General features: G+C 50.1%; 1 protein-coding gene across 50 annotated transcripts in view, besides 2 other annotated features; it reads left to right on the forward strand.

Moving 5' to 3' along the window:
* ZNF618 (zinc finger protein 618) overlaps nucleotides 1-19,537 on the forward strand; it is a 180,285-nt gene that overhangs the window by 118,924 nt on the left and 41,824 nt on the right. For 16 of the 50 annotated variants that reach the window (XM_011518203.4, XM_017014245.3, XM_047422721.1 and 13 more), the window contains exons 4-8: nucleotides 6,764-6,841; nucleotides 7,392-7,430; nucleotides 12,118-12,207; nucleotides 13,112-13,147; nucleotides 13,245-13,322. In XM_011518203.4, the coding sequence (XP_011516505.1) occupies nucleotides 6,764-6,841; nucleotides 7,392-7,430; nucleotides 12,118-12,207; nucleotides 13,112-13,147; nucleotides 13,245-13,322 (321 nt within the window). Of the gene's footprint in view, nucleotides 1-3,026; nucleotides 3,123-6,763; nucleotides 6,842-7,391; nucleotides 7,431-12,117; nucleotides 12,208-13,111; nucleotides 13,148-13,244; nucleotides 13,323-19,537 lie in introns of all 50 variants that reach the window. The other 34 variants (XM_005251692.4, XM_017014242.3, XM_017014241.3 and 31 more) reach the window with 3 other exon arrangements.
* Nucleotides 10,883-11,382: an enhancer, noted in NCBI's record as "H3K27ac hESC enhancer chr9:116768395-116768894 (GRCh37/hg19 assembly coordinates)". NCBI's record gives its function as "activates a minimal SCP1, AML or CMV promoter by ChIP-STARR-seq in primed H9 embryonic stem cells {active_cell/tissue: H9 hESC(primed)}" and the evidence as "EXISTENCE:reporter gene assay evidence [ECO:0000049][PMID:30033119]".
* Nucleotides 12,792-13,292: an enhancer, noted in NCBI's record as "H3K4me1 hESC enhancer chr9:116770304-116770804 (GRCh37/hg19 assembly coordinates)". NCBI's record gives its function as "activates a minimal SCP1, AML or CMV promoter by ChIP-STARR-seq in naive H9 embryonic stem cells {active_cell/tissue: H9 hESC(naive)}" and the evidence as "EXISTENCE:reporter gene assay evidence [ECO:0000049][PMID:30033119]".

The following is a 19,537-nucleotide window of genomic DNA, read 5'->3' on the forward strand; positions in this document are numbered from 1 at the left end:
TTGAAATTTCTAAAAAAAAAAAAAATTTCCTGGGATCATAAAGCTCTACATTCTCCAACATTTTTTTTTTCCAGATTGAGTTGTTATTAGCATACAATTCATCAAAAACAAATTTAGGTAAATAGTAAATGTAAAAGTAAAAAATTATTGAAAATGCATCTCTTAATGAAATGGATAGGGCTTCATTTCTTTCTCAATTGGCTCATGTATCTCTGAATTAATATTTCTTATTGCTAGAAGGAGACAAGATTCGACATTAATTTAATTCCTATCTTTTGGTTTTTGTAGGTCTAAGTGCTTAGAAAGCTCAGTCACATATGTAAGTAGCTGGCAGTGGATAGAGTTTTGTTTTAGCAGTGTCACTCAATTCTTTGAATTCCTTCCAAGTTGTATGCCAGAAATCACACAGGGGTCTATCATCAGATGATATTTTTAATGGTCTCTTCGCTGACAACTCCATTATATCCTCCTCTAATTTTGTTGAGAGCAGAGAGTTGGAAGTCACCCGATTCAAAAAAGGAGTTGTTCCTGGTCATTAGATCCACTCACTTTCTGAGCCCGACACCAGTATTGTAGGGTCACCTCTTTGCTTGGAGCCCCAGGGTTTTCATCTCTTGGGGCAGGCACCGTGGTAGGATTAGGGGTGGGTGAAAGGATCGTCTTTTGTTTGTAACGTGGCACAAGGGTGAAGGTGAGAGTGGGAAGAACCAGCGAGTGGGGCCTCCCACCTGCCAGATTCTCTGGCACATTGATTTTAGGAAAGAACACATTTAGAAGCTGATGATTCTCTTAAGGCTGTGTGGACCTACTTACCCCTTGGGCAGCCACCACACACCCCCAGGAGATTTGTGCTTCACTCAGAAGACCCTGCTCCAGAGGACATTTGGTTTGAGGCCAAGCCCCAGAGCCTCAGGAAACCCACTTGTCCATGACTTCCCTGTTCAGATCCCCTGTCATTCGGCAAGCCCTGGACCCAGCTCCTGTTGCATGTTTGAACAGAGAGGGCTGGACACACTCCTGAACATTTGTTCTCTGAACAGTGGCTCCTGAGACGCTCTGAGCTAAATATGGGACTGTCCATTGTAAGGAACCAGCCTTCTGTCCCTACCCTTGCGTTTTTCTTCTCTCATTCACCAGCTTTGGATTTCTATCTTGTCACATTTTGTGTATTGTGAAAGGTGCCCGAGCTTCTCTAGACCTGGCTGGGTGCAAAGGGTTGCTACCCCACATTCTTTCTCAGAAGCCTGCATCCTCTCCTAGGCATCTTCCCAGCGTCCCCCTCTGTGACTTCAGGAACTAGACCCCCTGTCCTCGCCTGGTCTGTCTGATGCTCTGGGAGGGAGCTAAGCCAGGTGTTTAGGGAAAGTGCTCAGTGGGAGCTGTGAACTCGGATTAGTTGGGATGGCGACTGTTGCATCACTTGTGATAGCAGGAATGGGAAGAGGAAAAGTCCGCTCCTGCCTCCTGTGTGCTGGCAAGCCCTGCCAGCCATCCCTGGGAGCAGTCCCAGGGCTCTCAATAGGGCACTCTGGGGAGTCCTGTGGCAGCACCAGACATAGTGGGGGGCTCTGCTGCCCTGTAGCATTTAAGGAAAGTGCCATGACTGAAAGGAACACACAGCTTGCCTGACATCCAGCAGGTGACCTGGGGTGGTGGCAGTAGCATGGCTCTGGATCCCCAAGGCCTACTTTGAGCCCAGTTCCTTGCCAGCCACTAGCCAAGCTGATGCTCATCCTTGCGACGGATGTTGAGTTGCCAGCCTCATGAGGACTTCTGGGAAGATGGTGGACGGAAATGAGACCTGGTAAAGGTTCTCTCTCTCTCTTTCTTTTTTTTTTCTTCTTCTTCCTCTTCTTTCTTCTTCTTCTTTTTTCTTCTTTCTTTCTTTTTTTTGAGATAGGGTCTTACTCTGTTGCCCAGGCTGGAGTGCAGTGGCATAATCACAGCTCACTGCAGCCTCGACCTCCAGGGCTCAAGTGTTCCTCTCACCTCAGCCTCCCAAGTAGCTGGGACTACAGGTGTGCTCCACCATGCCCAGCTAATTTTTGTGTTTTCTGTAGAGATGGGGGTCTTGCTGTGTTGCCCAGGCTGGTCTTGAACTCATGAACTCAAGTGATCTGCCTGCCTTGGCCTCCCAAAATGCTGAGATTCACCGCGCACAGCCCACAAGCACCATTTCTTCCTGGTGCTTTCCAAGAAGCTAGTTGTGTGGCTTGGGAGCAAATCAGATCTGACCGACCTCTGGTGCTATTCGTTGCCCCTCTGGTCCTCACTTTCCTCATCTGAAAAATGGGGATAATAATCACCTTTACCTGCTGGAATTGTGAGGATGAACTGAGCTGGTGTGAGAAACCCCTGAGCCAGGACCCCGAGCCCACTAACTGGCTGCATGAACTGGGCGAAATGCTGCACACAGCTGCCCTAGCCTCTGCTTCCTCACCCATGCAGTGGGGCAGAGGTCAGTCTGCATGGAAACATTGCAGATGAAGTGAGCCCAGACAGGTGGTGATGGTGATAGCCATGGTTCATAGAGGAAAAAAGTGGCTGGGATGAACAGAAGAGGGAGCGTGCTGGGCAGGGAGCCAGGCGTCGGGGCTGAGGACTGCCTGAGCTGAGTCCCCAAGAAGGCCCTCCTTGCACCACTGCATCAGTCTGGGTCTGTGGTGGCCACAGGCCAGGGGGATGCATGGACACTGCACCCGTGGGGCACATGTCCTTGGAGGGTGATTTTGCTGGAGGGTTTTTGGGTAGAAATTGTGTGTTCTAACCATATGTTGAATCAGAATATAGAGAAAACACAAAACTGAATTCAGGGAGCTGTTGACCCATGGCTGCTGTATTCTGCCATGTGCCAGCCTCCCTGGGGAACATGTGGATGCCCCTTGGCCAGCACAAGGTTTTTAACGAAGAGGTAGGCAGTGTGATCTTGTCCACGCTTCTCAAAGTGCAGCCAACTTCGCCCCTTCCCTAACCTTCCAGGCATTCTCCAACTTTAAGGGCTCTTTCTGATTTCTTACGTAATTCAGATGGAAAAGCGCCCGAAGGCAGCCCCCACGGTGGATCTGTGCGAAGCCGGTATTCAGGGACCTGGATTTTTGACCAAGCATTGAGATATGCATCTGGTACGTGATGGCCAAGGGGTAGTGCCTGATCCGGGGCCAGTATGGGTGGGGGCACAGCTGGACACAGCCATCAGTTACAGACCTGAGTAAGCAGGCCCCTGTTAGCATCTCAGGGTCAAGAGGGGCCACCTTCTTCATCCCCTGTCCTGGCTACATGTGAGCAAATCTGACTGGGACCCTGGAAGTACTGGACTACTGGAGGGACGATAGAGCATGTGGAAATCTGGACGCCTAGAATGTCCAGAGCATTTTGGCAGCACTTCCTATGGGCCGCAACTCTGAAACAGGCCAAGGGGACAAAAGGGTTCCAAGCCAAATGTGTTTGGGAGACCCTGGGTTAAACAGTAGCTGACCTCTCTCCCTGCAGGACTTCGCAGGGCCTGCGGCTGCCCCTGTGCAGTGGCCTCCCCAGGACAGGCCACGCCACGAGGTCTCCCTCATGCACTCTTGGCCATGGTCCTCTTTTTGCTGGGGTGCATTCAGGAAGTTGGGTTCCAAAGAATAAACTTCGGAAAATGCTGCTAGTAACAGCAGCTGACCTGTATCGTGTGCCTGCTGTGGACCAGGCCCTGTGCTAAGGAGCCACCACGTTATCCCTCACAACCCGTTCCCCTGAGGGGTGTACAGTGTTACAGGGAGGAAACCTGAGGTGTGGGTGGTTCCATGACTTGTCCAGGGCTCCCTCTGCTGGGATGTGGTGAGCCAGGGTTTGCACCCAGGTTTGCTGGCATCACTGCACTGAGGGCTGCCCCTCTAGTGAACTCTCCCCATGCCCCACCTCTCACCTCCCTGGCCCCATCACAAAGGGGAACCTGAAGCCCAGAGTCGGGCTGAGCGAGGCGCAGGTGGGGGCCCTGGGCTTTAGGCTGTGCGAGGGGCAGGCGGGGCCCTGGGTTTTAGGCTGATCGAGGGGCAGGCGGGGCCCTGGGTTTTAGGCTGAGCTAGGGGCAGGCGGGGCCCTGGGTTTTAGGCTGAGCGAGGGGCAGGTGGGGCCCTGGGCTTTAGGCTGAGCGAGGCGCAGGCGGGGCCCTGGGTTTTACGCTGCATGAGGGGCAGGCTCAGGGTCCCTCCTACCAGCACACAGTGCTCAGTCCAGAGACTCCGTGTGCCAGACAGGCTGCCTCACTCTGCACTGGGGGTCAGGAGCCAGCCGAGGAGAGGCTGAGGAGCCATCATGCCCCCCATGACTCCTTCTGTGGGGTGACACCTGCAGGCAAGGCTGCATGTGCCCACAGCTCTCCCACAGCTTGGGGTGAACTCCATACTGCCTGCCAATCAGGCCTTGACTTGGCTGTAAACAGTATCTACTCCACTGACTTGGGCCCCCCACTGCAGTTGGGCCAGGGTCCTGCCTCTGTGCCCCCAGGCCCTGCACTTGCTGCCCTAACGCCATCATCGTGCGTTGTCCCTGTGCCAGCTGGCCTGTCTGCTTCCTATTAGATGGAGGACAGGGAGCACACCTTGCTCATTGCTGGGGCCTCAGTGCCCGGCACATTGCAGGCACTCGTAAATTCTTCACTGGTTGAAGGGGAATTGGCAGAAACTGCTGAAGAGTGGGTGGAGGCAGCAGGAAGAGAGTTGGAGGCATTATTACTCAGTGACAGATGAGTACAACAGCAAGACACCATGGATTTATGGAGCCCTCGCTGTGTGCCAATCACAGGGCTAAATACAAAGAAATATGCAATCTCATCTTTGTCCTCCACGTGATTGTATTTTTCCCTGTGTGACAAGGGTAATACACATACAAACCACTAAATAACAGACTCCTAAATCCCACGCTGGTGTTAGGATGACAGCGGCCCTTGGAGTGACCCACAGTAGTACCAGTGGCACCGGCTCCTGTTCCTCAGTACCTGTGGTGTGCCAGCCGACTCACATGATGAACCTCGTTGATACAGACCTCAGTCATGAATTGTAGGAATCAGAGTCCGGTTTTGCAGGTGGGGAAACAGAGGCTCGGACAAGTGAAAGGTTGTGTCCGAGATCAAAAAAAGGATGTGTCCGAGATCAAACAGATAAGACAAACTTGTCCAGCCCACGGCCCGTGACCGCATGTGGACCAGGATGGCTTTGAATGCGGCCCAACACAAAGTCATAAATTTTCTTAAAACATTGTAAGTCTTTTTGTGATTTTTTTTTTAGCTCATTAGCCATCGTTAGTGTATTTTATGTGTGGCCCAAGACAATTCTTCTTCCAGTGTGACCCAGGAAAACCAAAAGGTTGGACCCCCCTGAGCTAAGGGATAGCAGAGCTGAACTAGGCTTCAGACTCCATATCCAGTGCTCTTCCAGCTTCACTTCATGCCTCAGGTACACACTCAGGAAACGGGCCTCTGCTTCCAGGCAAGACAAAGGGAGTAGGAGTTAATGATCTTCACCTGCACGGAGGGGCTGGTCTTGTGCTGGGAACACTCTTCATGCAAACTCAGTCTTCACACCAACACACTTGAGTCATCCGCATTTTTCCCAGGAGGAAATTGAGGCCCAGCCAGTAAATGACAGAGTTAAGACTCTTATCCCAGGTCTGCCTCTCCCATCCCCAGATGCTGGGCACCAGAATTCCCTGGGGACCTTGGAATAGGCAGGTCTCCACCCCAGCCACTCTAGATCGCTAAGCCTGGAGTGGGCCGGGGCCTCTGCATTTGTCCACGCTCCCTGGCTATTCTGTTAGGAAGAGCAAGGCCTGGGCCCAGGTGGCATCAGGCCTTCATGAGGGCTGATTTAGATGGGGAGCAGGCAGGGTTTCTGCCCCTGGGGTCCCTGCCAGGCTGGATCTGAGGGGCTCTTCTTGGCTTCCTACCATGGGCCTTTGCTCTGACCTCTACATGGGCAGGCTCATCTTTTAACCTCTCTGCAGTGCTCACTAGGAGCTTGGCCATTTCAGTCTCCCTGCTCCTGGGAGAAGGGCCTGGCAAGGGGCTGGGGGGGCCAGGCATTTACACCATGTCGGTCTCTGTGTGTCTGAGGGAACAAGACAACTCCTCAGCAGGTGTGGGGGGCGGTCCTCTCCTTGCTGAGCCTGTCTAGAGTAGGGCTGGGCACTTCCTACAGGGAGTATATGGCCACCCCTACGAGGTAGGTGCATGTGGTCCCATTCTGCAGATCAGCAGACTGAGGCTTCATGCATCTAAGGAAATTACCAAGGTCATGCTGCTGGTAAGTGACAGAACAGGGACAGGGACCCAGGTGTGTCTGATTCAGTCTGTCTGTCTTAATCTCTGTCCCATTCCGGCAAGGAAAAGGGGTTGCTAGAAATTATTGTAATGCGTTGAAGTAATGATTTCCTTATGTGGATGCAATTTATTCCTTTCAGAGCACTTTTAACATTCATTTCCTTTTTCCCCTCAAGGTGTAGGGCTGAGAATTAGCTGAAGAAGTTACCTTCTCCATCTTACAGATTTGGAAACTGAGGCCCAGAGATGGGGGGGTGCCTTGCCCAAGGTCACCCACAGAGTGGAGGGCAAACCTGGATCTAGACCCAGGCCTCGTGACTTCTAGCTCGGTGCTGCCTCCTTGCCAGGGACCATCTCTGCCCCTGGGACAGAGAGTTAGCCACACTTGTAGGCATCGCCTGTGGGTCCTGGGACCTTGTGGTCACAGAGGTTGGGTGACCAGTCCTTTCCTCTTCTGTTTTCCAGGGTCTTACGAATGCGGAATCTGTGGCAAGAAGTACAAGTATTACAACTGCTTCCAGACCCACGTGCGGGCGCACCGAGGTGAGAGGAGTGTCCCTGGGGCAGAGCCCAGGGGCCGCACCTCCCACTGTCTGCCTGTTTCCCACTTGGGCCCCTCGTGGGTGACCCCAGAGGCCCTGACAGCTCCAGCCTTTCCCATTCTCCTCCTACTTTCATCAGTAGGACAGGGTGCCAGGCAGGAGAAGGGAGGCCTCCTGATGCGGGACAGCTCAGGTGTGGGAGGGGGACTCTGCAGGACACACCAGACCTGCGCCCAAGGGCACCCCCTGCTCCCCACTGGCCTCACGCCTCCCAGGACATCTCATCACTGCTCAGTGTCAGTGGCCCCCACAGGGCACTTGCTGAGGTCAGTGTGTGTGTTCCTCATGACAAGCTTGGGAGTTGCAGACAGGAGGGATGGCGTCTGTTCCTCCCGGAGCCTGGCAGACAGGGAGGAGAGGCTGGCATCAGGGGCCCGGTGCGGGACTGTGAGCTCTTCCCCTGTGGCTTCCATGTTCTCTTTTGCACTTGGCACTGGCCCTGTCATTGGCCCGGTAGCCCCACCCCCATCCCTCTCTCTCTCTCTTTGCAGACACCGAAGCCACCTCAGGGGAGGGAGCCTCCCAAAGCAGTGAGTACTTTTTCCTCCTCGTGGGCTGCTGAGGGGCGAGGGCTTGGGGTGGGATGAAGAGGAGCTGCTTGTCCCCTCCCCCAGAACTGCTCCAGGTGGCCTCTGAGAGACACAGTGCTGGGGTCCAAGCTTGGGGGCCAGACCATCCTTACAAAACCGCAATGCGGTACCTCAGAGCAGCCCTTCCCAAAGCGTGCTCCATGGCAGGCTCATTCTGGGAAGGTTAGTGGGTGTTCTGTCCATGACGACTTCTCTGGCCAAGTAACTTTGGGAGACCTTGAGTTTCACTAAGGGGAGCAGGTTTCTTGTGGACATTTCCAGCCCTTCATTGACAGACACAGCTGTGCATCTCCCATGGGTGCCCTGGATATGCGGGTCCTTGTGTTCTTTTGACTCTGACTCATGACTCTGGGGCTCCGTAGTTGACTTTTGGGAAATGCTGCTTTGGAGAGTTTTCTCCTGAGCCCCCACAGCCAGGGGCACTAATTGCTTATTGGTGATTTGCCCTGAGGTGCCATATCCCAGCACCTGGGGCGGCACAGGGCCTTGACATCTGCGACAGCACTGCTGCTCACAGGCCCTGCTTGCCATCCCTCCAGTTCTAGGCCCCAAGCGCCTGGTAAGTGAGCAGCCAAGCTGGTGTAGACTAGGATGGAATCTCCCCACCCAATAATCTGAAGCTTCAGAAGTCACAGTTCCACGTGTAGGTATGTCGCCAACAGAAACGGGTGTATATCTGCTGCAAGATGCAAACTAGAATGTCCTTAGCACACCATTCCTAACAAACTAGAAGCCCCCAAATGCCCAGAGCTCATTGAATGGAGAAGTAAGTCTAGTGACACAAAAGACTACTGTAAAGTAGTGAGAACGAACAATTTATAGCTACACACAGCAACATGGATGACTCACAAACAATGGTGAGCAAAAGAGGCCAGGCGTAAACAGAGTTCAGCCTCTAAGATTCTGCATAGAGAAAGGGCAAAAGCAGCTAAAACTAATTATTGCCGGTAGAAGTCAGAAGAGCGGTTCCCCTGGGGAAGGGGCTTCAGGGTTCTGTTTCTTGAGCTGGGTGCTGGTTACCTGGGTGGTTTCAGTTTGTGGAAGTTGAACAAGCTGTGCACTTAGGATTTGTACACTGTTCTACACCAGGGGTTAGCAACATTTTTCTGCAGAGGGCCAGATGGTAAGTATTTTAGACTTTATAGCCCAGACGTCTCCGTCGCAAGTATTCAGCCCTGCCCTTGTAGTGGGAACATGCCAGGAACAGAGATAATATGTAAATGAATTCCTTACCAAAACAGATGGTGGGCAGGATTTGGCCCACAGACTGTTGCTTGCCAATCCCCGTTCTATGGGTTTGTTACACCACACCATCACAAAAAAAGATTCTTAACATAATAAATAAACATTACCACCCCCTGCCCAACAAAACCCCAAACCAGAGCAGTTTGAAGAGATGGCGATGGCTGAAAAAGGATTGTAACTGGCCTGGGTCCCAGTAGCATTTCTTCTAAGACACTTTCTCATCCACTCCGTTTGGATTCTTATGCCAAAGGAGAGGCCGGCATGTTCCAGAGAGAAATCTGAGGCCCAGGTCAGCTAGACACCTGCCACAGGACCCCAGCTGGGAGGAGGTGGGAGCTGGGCCCTCCCCCTCCAGCCCCGCCTTTCCTGCCCCAGCCCCAGCCTCAGCCTGGTCCTTGGCTCCCATCTCCTTCAATAGTTCCATTCTTTTCCGGCTCCCATGGACTGGCTGCGGTCAGCCACACATTTAAAGAACTTCCCTATTTATCTTTCCTTCCTCAGCTATTCTGGGCCCCTGGCCTCTCCAGCAGCCCCTCAATGATCTGTTGTGTTCCGTCTGGCTTCCGTTGTCCGCGGGCTTGCTGGTTGCTGACGGCTCTGTAGCGGGGGTATTTTTAGTCCTTCCGTCACTTTTCCCTTCCTCCCTGTGGAGTTTCCTCCCTGCGGCCATTGCGCGCTATTTTATTCTCAGTCCTGCAGCCCTGCCCTGACCCAGACTGGCAGCACCTGCTTAGAACGCCTGGCCTCCACTTACAGAAGCCTGGCCATGGAGTCATGGAGCCAAAAGGGCCCAACTGAGAAGACTGAGTCCAGCCCACCCATTTTGCAGATGAGGACAGGGAGTCATACAGGTTGTGAGTAGTGGAGGCGGGCCTAGAAATGAAATGAGGTCTCACACATTCTATTAACAGTTCTAGGACTTTTCATTTATTTATTAGGAAAATAGTACAGTCATACATAGAAGCAGACAGACATATTCACTCATCCATCTGTCCACTAAGGAATAAAAGATTAGCCCCTCATGCTACTGTCACATTGATATTTGTGACAGTATTAGGTTACATTTGGCAAGTATTTATTGGATGTCCCTTGTGTTCCTTTATTCTTTATTATAACTATAGGAAATGAAGAACCTCTCATTCCCATTTTACAGATGAGGAAACCGAGGTGCAGAGGTTAGGCAGCATGTCTGAGGTCTGCCGCACTTATACCTGGTAGAGTTGGGTTTGATTAGGCAGCATGAATCCAGAGCCTGCCTCCCTGAACGGATTCACAGTGGCATCTAAGAGACACCGAGCTCTCGTGTCTGAAAATGCAGCGGTTCTGAAAACGTGCTTTCACTGACAAAAAAATGATTCTGCTCTCCTTTTTGGGGATAACCCTCTTGGCCTAATCATTTCCTGACTGACGAAGACCTGGGAGCGGGCTCCCCATCCATGTCAAAGAGATGTCACGGTGTCAGAGCAGGGTGGGGGTATTCTCAGCAGCAGAAACCTGGGGGCTCACGTTTTATTGGAGGTAACAGATGTGGCCCTGAAGTGAGGGGTCAGGCCCAGCTGGCCAGGGAGGCTGGGTAGAGACAAGCAAGTGGGCAGGTGGCGGCAGATGGCGGGTAGCAGTGGTCAGCTTAGGAGAGGAATGTCAAGGCAGAGCCCAGTCTGGAACCAGACCCCAGGTGGCCTTGACTTCTCTGTCTCTGTTCCTGGGCAGGTGTCCTGCACAGAAGGCAGGGTTGCAAAAGAGACACTGGGGACCATGGTCTGGACGGGACCTGATGGGGAAGTTGTCTAAGTTGATTGCTGGCTACATGAAAGGATTAAAGCCTGGGCCAGGCACAGAATCCTAGAACCACCATCCTGGGAGAGGCCCCAGGAATCAGCTCATCTACATCCCTTTCCCAGCTCCCCAAATTATGGGGGAAAACAAGGAAGCAGGACCAGCCTCTCCTGCCCCACACCTTGCCACCTCTTTCTTGGATGATTCTGGTATCCAGCATCCTCAGAATGTCTCCAAGGAACCTGTGGCTCCTTGCTCAGGGACCAGTTTGTGTCTGGGGCTCTGGCACCTGCTAAGGCATTTTCAGAGAATACGAAGAGGTGAAGCTGGTGGTGGGAGGGAGAGGTGGCTAATGCCATTTGTGTCCCTAAGTTCAGAAGGTGGGGCCAGAAACCTTCCCACGGAATTACCTGGCAGCGTAACCTTGTGGTAGAGGATTGCATCAGATCCTGTATTTGGGTTCTGAGGGACAGGAGGGGGACCAGGAGAGAGGTACCCCAACCCAGTACTGATTTGCAGCTTATTCAGACAGAGAAGGGCCACATGCCCTGACTCAGCCTTAGCTTGGAGTTAGTGAATGTTTGAATCCTAGCTCTCCCTTCCCCTCCCCACACCGGGCAGCCTTGAGCATATCACCAAGCCTCCCTGTGCCTGGGGTGATGGGATTGATAGGCCCTCCCTACATCAGCCCAAGGAACACACACATGAGGTTCGTGCCAGTGCAAACGTTAGAGTGTGCCATTGTGGAGGGGGTAATGTCCTGTGTCCAGCCTCAGCCTCAGATGTTGGGTAGACCCAGGGGATCATCCAAACTCCAACCTCATGTTAGTTACCTATTGCTGTGTAACAGATGTCCCTAAAACTTAATGACTGGAAGCAACAAGCATTGATTATCCCTCAGTTTCTAGGGTCAAGAATTTGGATATGGCTTTGCTGGGTCCTTTGGCGCTGGGTCTTTCCCTGGCTGCAGGCATGGACTTGGCCAGGGCTGTGGTCTCATCTCAAGGCTCAACTGGGGAAAGAACTGCTTTTAAACTCACTCATGTGGTTGCTAGCAGGTTTAACAACCCTGCTAGGGTTCTGTCCTTCCCACACTCTTAGACTGAAGGCCTCACTGGCTGTTCACCAGAGGCCACCCTCAGCTCCTGGTCACCTGTGTCTCTCATGGGGCAGCTCACAACCCAGCAGCCAGCAGGTGTGACCTGGACAGAGAAGGTATGCTTGAGACAGAAGTCCCAGTCTTTTGTAAGCTACCCTCAGAAGTGATATTCTGTCACTTTTACTGCATTCTGTTCATTAGAAGTCAGTTACCAGGTCTAGTCCAGACTCACAGGGAAGGGGTGATGTAGGGCATGAGCATCAAGAGGCAAGGAGCCCTGGGTGCTGTCCCCAAGGCTGCTCATCACCGGCCCTCCCGGCTGTGCCCTTGGGGCAAATCCCTTCTGATCCTCAGTTTCCTCATGTGTAAAATGAGAGACTGCTTCCTCCCTCCGCTAGCCAGACTGGGCTAGTTTCATCTTTGGTTTCTGAGATGATCTGGCCAGAAAAACCCCACCCCACAAGACTGAAGCCCTGGTAACCAGGTGTGTGTTTTCATCCCATGCAGACAATTTCAGGTACACATGTGATATCTGCGGGAAGAAGTACAAATACTACAGCTGTTTCCAAGAGCACCGAGACCTGCACGCAGTGGATGGTGAGTCAGGCCCCTCACTCCCTGGAGTCATGCCAAGAGGCGCCCTTCCTTGGAGACACCAGCCCCCAGCCCTCCCCGCCTCCCTCCTCCCTCTTACCCAGAAAAAGGCCAGGCAGTAGCTGGAACCATGAGGGGAATGACCAGCCCTGGAGGATTCTGGGGGCGGGAACGTCACCATCATACTCCACATACACTTCTATTTAGGTTAACCCAAGTGAAATTGCCATTTTTATAGGTCAAAATCAGTAGAATATTGGAATTTCGTATCGAGTCATTTTGTAGTTTCATATTGAGCATTTGCATGTTCTGATTAAATTAAACCGGTTTTAAAAAACGAATGATGGCCTTTTAGCATCTTAGATTATACAATTAGAAATTAGAATAATACATTTAGCCAACACATATTTGAGTCTCAAAAATCCTAGAAAGAGGGTCTTAGACCTTGGAAGGGCCTTAGGGGTTCCCCGTCTAGCCCCACACCTTCAGCCCATCTTGAGCTGTGACAACCAGGCCCACCACCTGTTACCACTGGCCCATCTCTTTTCTCACCTCGTCTTTCTCTCTCCTCCCAATCTCTTCCTCTTTTCTCCTGCCCTGGCCCCTTGAACCCATGATGGCAATCAGAAACAGATCCAGGCAAACTGTCTGCCTGTACCATGGATGGGTGCCCATCCTAGTGAGGACGAGGGATTGAGGCCCAGGCTGTGTCCTGGTTGGGATGTATCCTCGTGTTGTCCTGGTTTTGGGGGGCTTCCACAGTGGCCACGGCAGCCCTCCTGGGCCCCAAGGCAAACCCATGGGGATAGGGGCTGGGAGCAGTGGCAGAGGCAGCTCTGGGCAGGGACTAACAGGGCTCCTGTTTGTTTCTTTCCTTCTGCGGCTGCCGCCTCCTGCCCGGGCGCAGTGTTTAGTGTGGAAGGGGCCCCTGAGAACCGGGCAGGTAAGTCCTTGGTGTCTGCTTGTCACCTCCCCTGTCCCCGGCTGGGCTCCTGAGACCTGGGGGACCAGGGTGCTAAGGGCCGTGTGTTCTCCCACAGACCCCTTCGACCAAGGTGTCGTGGCCACGGACGAGGTGAAGGAGGAGCCCCCGGAGCCATTCCAGAAAATCGGGCCAAGTATGCGGGATTCCCTCTGGGGCCAAGGGCTGGGTGGGGGCTGGCCAAGGGAGGCAGGGCTCAGTCTCACTGCTAGGGCAGGGGTAGCAGTGGGTGGCATCACTTAACTGCAGCAATGGTGCCCAACCTGTCAGTTGGGCCAGTCAGTGTTAGGACTGGAGCTTTCGAGGAGCAGCAGGGCAGCACAGGGTCAAGGTCAGGACAGTGAAGGCAGCCAGGCTGGGGCTGAGTCCTGGCGCTACTGCTTACAGGCTTGGTGTCCTCATGGTCTGTTAGCCATCCTGAACCTCAGCCTCCCCACCTGTGGAGTGAGGATGACATTTCCCCACAGGTTTGTTGGGGGATTAAATGAGATCCTGGATGTGAACCACTTGTTAGCACAGTGCCTGGTACATAGTAGGTGCTCGGAAAATAACACGTCGTAGTCACCTGAAGGGGCCTATCAGTGAATGAGCTGTCCAGGGCAGCCACAGGCAGACTCTCTGTCTCTGTCCCAGGACACCCCTTGAGGGCAGGAGCCACACACGTCTGGCCTGTTTTTGATAAACTTGTATTGAGTGTTGTGGGCACACAGCTGAGAACAGGACACATGTGGTCCTGCCCTTGGGTAATTCAGATGGGGCTTGGGGGTGGGGACAGCAGATCATTGAACAGATAGTTCCAACATAGCTTGCAGGGAGCTGTGGGAGGCCTGAGGGAATGCTGGAAGCTTTCAGATGGGGACGAGGGTAGGGGATGAGCCCCAGCATCCCATGCCAAGGCTGGAGAGCCCTGCTGGTCCCGAAAATCGATGATGGCTTCAGGTCTTACAGAGCCTTGAATGCCAGCAGGCAGCATCCTCAGGAGAATGAGCCAGAGAGTTTTTACTAAGTGGAGAAGGGACTTGATCCAATTTGCATTTTAGGAAGCCCCATTTTGCTGCTGGGAGGAAGATAGATTGGGAGGGGCTGGGTGGCCAGCCCAGGGCAGGTGCCGTGGGACCACAAGTGAGTGAGACTTGTCCTTTCCAGCTGTTCAGGAATTGCCATACCTGCTATTTATCTCTCTGTTTTCTGTACCTCACTTACTACCCAGCAAGAAGAGACCTTTATGGTCTCTGCTTCCTTCCAATAAGGATCTAAGGCAGCTTGTAAAAATATACACAAAAACAGAACAAGCAGATGAGGATATCTGAGTGAAGGAAAATCAGAGGAGCTGAAACACTAAGTTGGATACGTTCCTCAGGGCAGAGCTCGATCCCAGCTCTTGGAAGGGGTTGGGTGGGTTCCCTCCCCCTCCCCCAAATGCTTTTTCTTCCTCATCCCTTGTCTGTGGTCATGGGATGATTCTTTGCTTTCTTCTTAACTCTTCTGAAAGCATTCAGGAAACTGAAGATGAGATAATGTCTATAAAGTGGTCAGCACAGTGCTGTCACATGCATAGTAAACACTCGATAAGCAGGAGCATAAAAATCATCTTAAAGATGAAGAATATGGCCGGGCACGGTGGCTCACACCTGTAATCCCAGCACTTTGGGAGGCCAAGATGGGCGGATCACCTGAGGTCAGGAGTTCAAGACCAGCCTGGCCAATATGGCGAAACCCCGTCACTACTAAAATTAGCCAGGTGTGGTGACGCACACCTATAGCCCCAGCTACTTGGGATGCTGAGGCAGGAGAATCACTTGAACCCGGGAGGTGGAGGTTGCATTGAGCTGAGATTGTGCCACTGCACTCCAGCCTGGGTGACAAGAGTGAGACTCTGTCTCAAAAAAAAAAAAAAAAAAGATGAAGAATATGATGAAACCCTCAGTGCTCAAATACGAGAAGTTAGACGGTACAGGGGAAACACAGATGTGAATCAGGCATATTTGCAGCATTCAAAGAATTCAGGCTGGGCGTGGTGGCTCTCGCCTGTAATCCTAGCACTTTGGGAGGCCGAGACGGGTGGATCACAAGGTCAGGAGATTGAGACCATCCTGGCCAACATGGTGAAACCCCATCTCCACTAAAATACAAAAATTAGCCGGGCGTGGTGGCATGTGCCTGTAGTCCCAGCTACTTGGGAGGCTGAGGCAGGAGAATCGCTTGAACCCAGGAGGTAGAGCTTGCAGTGAGCCGAGATTGCACCACTGCACTCCAGCCTGGTGACAGAGCAAGACTCCATCTCAAAAAATAATTCCAAAGAATTCATAGTTTGGTGACTATGACAGACATTCATAGGCAGATATAGGACAGGAACAGAGGATCTGTGACCTCCCCGTTGAGTATCTATCTAGGATCTGGCAGTGGTCCCAGTGTACTGCTGCTCTTCCAACCGTGTCATTTTCCTTAGGAAGATGGGCTTTGAAATCAGACAGGCTTAGGTTTGAATGCTGTTGTCACCAGCTTACTAGCTCCCTACCCCTTGTGAGTATCCCATAAGTTGCGGACAAGCACATCTCTGAATTTTCCAGTGCTGTTGGAGCACACACACACAAAATGTCTCACCAAGCACCTGGCTCATATCCAAGGTGTAGGGAGACCTGTTACTGAGAAAGAGTCAAGGGCAAGAGTTTTAGAGCCAACCGAAATAGGACTCCCAGCTCGACACTTAATAGCTGCATGATGTCCTACCAGTTTTCTAATCTGTCTAATCCATAGTTTCTCTACCTCTAAATGGGCTGATGACAATAAAACTCACCTTTCAGGATTGTCATGGGGCTTAGATGAGATTATATTTGTAAAAGAATTAGCATAGTCCTTACACATGCATGCAAAGCATTAAATAAGTGGTACCTTTAATTACCCAGGAAGATGCAGAACAAGATGAAGTGTGTTCTCTGTATCTGTAACTAAGTCTGACAGACAGCCAACGCCAGGACCTGGGAGGAATTAATCAAATTATTAGGAGTGTAGAATTGCATTGAGAATATCAGACTGGGTCTGGCTGCCAGCGTGCTCCCAGCTGGACTGAATGGAGCTGAGATTGCTGGTGTGGTGTGAGACCATCCCTTGCTGCCACTCAGGAGCTGCCTTGTGAGACAAAAACGTTGCTTCTTCGGCTCCTGCTACGTATAAGCAGGCCAATGCCACAGAACGCGAAAAACGATTAGCCAGTAGAGGCACACGTGTTCTGAAGGGACTGATTGCCCAAGTAAAGCTCTGTAGTCAGAGGAAGAAGAAACACCCTGGCAGGAGTGAGTGCTGGGAAGTACACCTTTCACATCAGCATCAGCTGAGCACATTAGAGAATTAGGTACTTAGGTTGGAAGAAGCCCAGGCAATGACAGAGCAGAGAATCCTGCTAGAAAAGAGAGAGTTGGTCCAAGAAGCCTTGTGGGTTAACTCGCTCTTCATCTGCATATCCAAGAATTACTTCCATGATAATGGGCAGAGGGAGAATCAAGGAAAACTCATTTGTGTGGTCTGTTGAAACAGAGTAAGTCTGGAGTCATGTATGGGTTACTTGATTTTTATGCCTGAATAAGGAAGAGTCACTTGAATAGTTAAAAAAAAAAAAAAGAGAGAACTATGTAAATTCCACATAACAAGAAAAAGAGAATTTAAGAGACTCAGAGAAGAGAACACCTGAAAATGATCTACCACAAAATCTAGAAGACCATTCTGTTTGACAACCTCCATCTCATGTAAGAAAATATGACCTTACACATCCACTTAGGCTGCCACAACAAAATATTACAGACGGGGTGGTCTGAACAATTTATCTCTTACAGTTCTGGAAGCTGGAAAGCCTGAGATCAGGGTGCCAGCATGGCGGGTTTCTGTTGAGGGCTCTCCTCCTGGCTTGCAGATGGTCACCATATGTCTGGACATGATGGTGAAAGAGAGAGAGAGCAAGCTTTCTGGCCTCTCTTCTAATAAGGGCACTAATCCCATGGTGGGGACCCTACCCTTATGACCTCATCTAACCCTGCCTACCTCCCAAAGGCCCCATCTCCACATGCTATCACATTAGGAGTTAGAGTTTCAACATATGAATTTGAGGATGGGGACACAGTTCAGTCCATAGCATGACCCCTGTGAAAAGGGAGCCAGAAGTTGTATGGTGAAAAAGCAACAGAATAAGAAAGCAAAGAGAGAGGAGTGAGACGAGGAAGGATTTCAGGGAAGCAGAAAACGTAAGAACAGAATTAAAACCTACATTCTATGTAGTAAAGAGCCGAGTTTATCTGCAAAATTGGAATTAGTGATGTGAAGGATGAACTTGAACAGATGAAGATAATGAGAGGAAAATATGATAAATGGGGAGAACAGGGAGCCGGTTTCAGATAATTGATGTTATAGTACCAGTGGCCAGAAACAGTGCTCCTAAGATCTAATAGAAGAAAAATTTGCTTAGCTAAAGGAAGACCTGTATATGCAGATTTAATATCTGCATAATCATCATGTATCAGATAGATTCGATATAAAGAGACCTGTACCTACATAGATCTCAGTGACTTTTTAAAACTATAGGAAAAAAAAAAAACCTATATAAGCATTCAGGCATAAAAAAGTAGGTTACCTATACATGAATTCAAGGTGGACTTGCCTCAGACTTCTCTGCAATACTAAATCTTAGAAGATAATGGATAAGTGTTGAAGGGAAAAAGTTGTAATCTAAGAATTTTATATCTAGACAAATTGTGGTTTGTGTGTAAAGAGAAAAGCAAGGACTTAAAAACGTATTTTTTTTCTGTGTACCCATCTTCACAAAATTATTTGAAGATATACTCTGATGAACTAAGTTGTAGAGTACATGTAAAGACTCAATTGTGAGAAATTCATAGTATAAGAGGAACTGTGAGTAGTAAAACAAGATAAACTAGAAGTTAGTTTAAAATGTTCCAAATCTGATTATAAAATTGCAGAAGGCAGATTATTCTAAAATATTAAAAATGAGGGTTTTATTTATTTTTTATTTTTTATTTTTTGAGACAGAGTCTCACTCTGTCGCCCAGGCTGGAGTGCAGTGGCGCAGTCTCGGCTCACTGCAAGCTCCGCCTCCTGGGTTCACACCATTCTCCTGCCTCAGCCTCCCAAGTAGCTGGGACTACAGGCGCCCGCCACCACGCCTGGCTAATTTTTTTATATTTTTAGTAGAGACGGGGTTTCACCGTGTTAGCCAGGATGGTCTTGATCTCCTGACCTTGTGATCCACCTGCCTCGGCCTCCCAAAGTGCTGGGATTACAGGCGTGAGCCACCACACCCAGCCAGGGTTTTATTTTTTTAAAAGGAAGGAGGAATTGGGGAGGGCTTACAGTAAAGTAGGTTAAGCCTTCCTATTCATAGTGTGGCTCCAGACCAGCAGAGCAGCATTCCTGGAAGCTTATTAGAAATGTATATTCTTAGGCCCTACTCCAGACCTACAGGATGAGAATTTCTCCAGCAAGCTATGTTGTAACAGTCTTTCCAGATGATTCTTTGACATGCTAAAGTTTGAGAAACACTGGTTTAAACTATCTTTCTCCATGGTGATAGACAGAAAAATGCTATTTCCCACTTGACTATTAACAATTAGAGAAATATATCTTATATACTGTCTAATTGTCTAAAACAATAGAGAAAATTGGAAAATAATGGAATATCAGAGAATAATGGAAAAATATAGAGTTCATATATCAAACAAGTGGGAATTAAGGCAGCAATCAGAAAAGGTGGAGCATGAACAAGACTTGTAAAACCAAATCAATTATAGCAATAAAAGCAAATGGCATAATCTCCTTTATTAGAAGGCAAAGCTTGTGAGGTTGATTTAAAATAATCCAGTTATTAATGGTGTATTAGAGACAAGGTTAATTCCTTATCTTTACTCTGCACTTGAGCTTCTCTTTCCTACTTCCAGAACTAGATTAAATTCCCTATCATGGGTTTTTATAGCACTGCATATGTCTCCTTGAGAGCACTTACTGTGGATGGAGTTTTAAATTTGTCTGAGTGTTTCTTTGATTTTTTGATCTCCTTTTGTTAGACTGTAAACTCCTTGAAGGCAAGAACTTTGCCTGTTTTTGCTTAGCATTTTGTGCCAGCACTTAGCACAGTACCTGTTTAATGAATGACAGTACGAGAAAATATAGGGACATGTCTTCAGGTACATGTAAACAAATAGATCAGGGTCTGACAAATTATCAAATTATTTATGCCAGACAAACTAATAAAACGGAATAATTAAATGTTACAGCAAGCTTTCCCACACATCAGAATTTTCTGGAGGGCTTGTTAAAACATGGATTGCAGGACACAACACCTAGAAT

This window comes from Homo sapiens, chromosome 9 (assembly GCF_000001405.40).
Source record: "Homo sapiens chromosome 9, GRCh38.p14 Primary Assembly".
Lineage (NCBI taxonomy): Eukaryota > Metazoa > Chordata > Mammalia > Primates > Hominidae > Homo > Homo sapiens.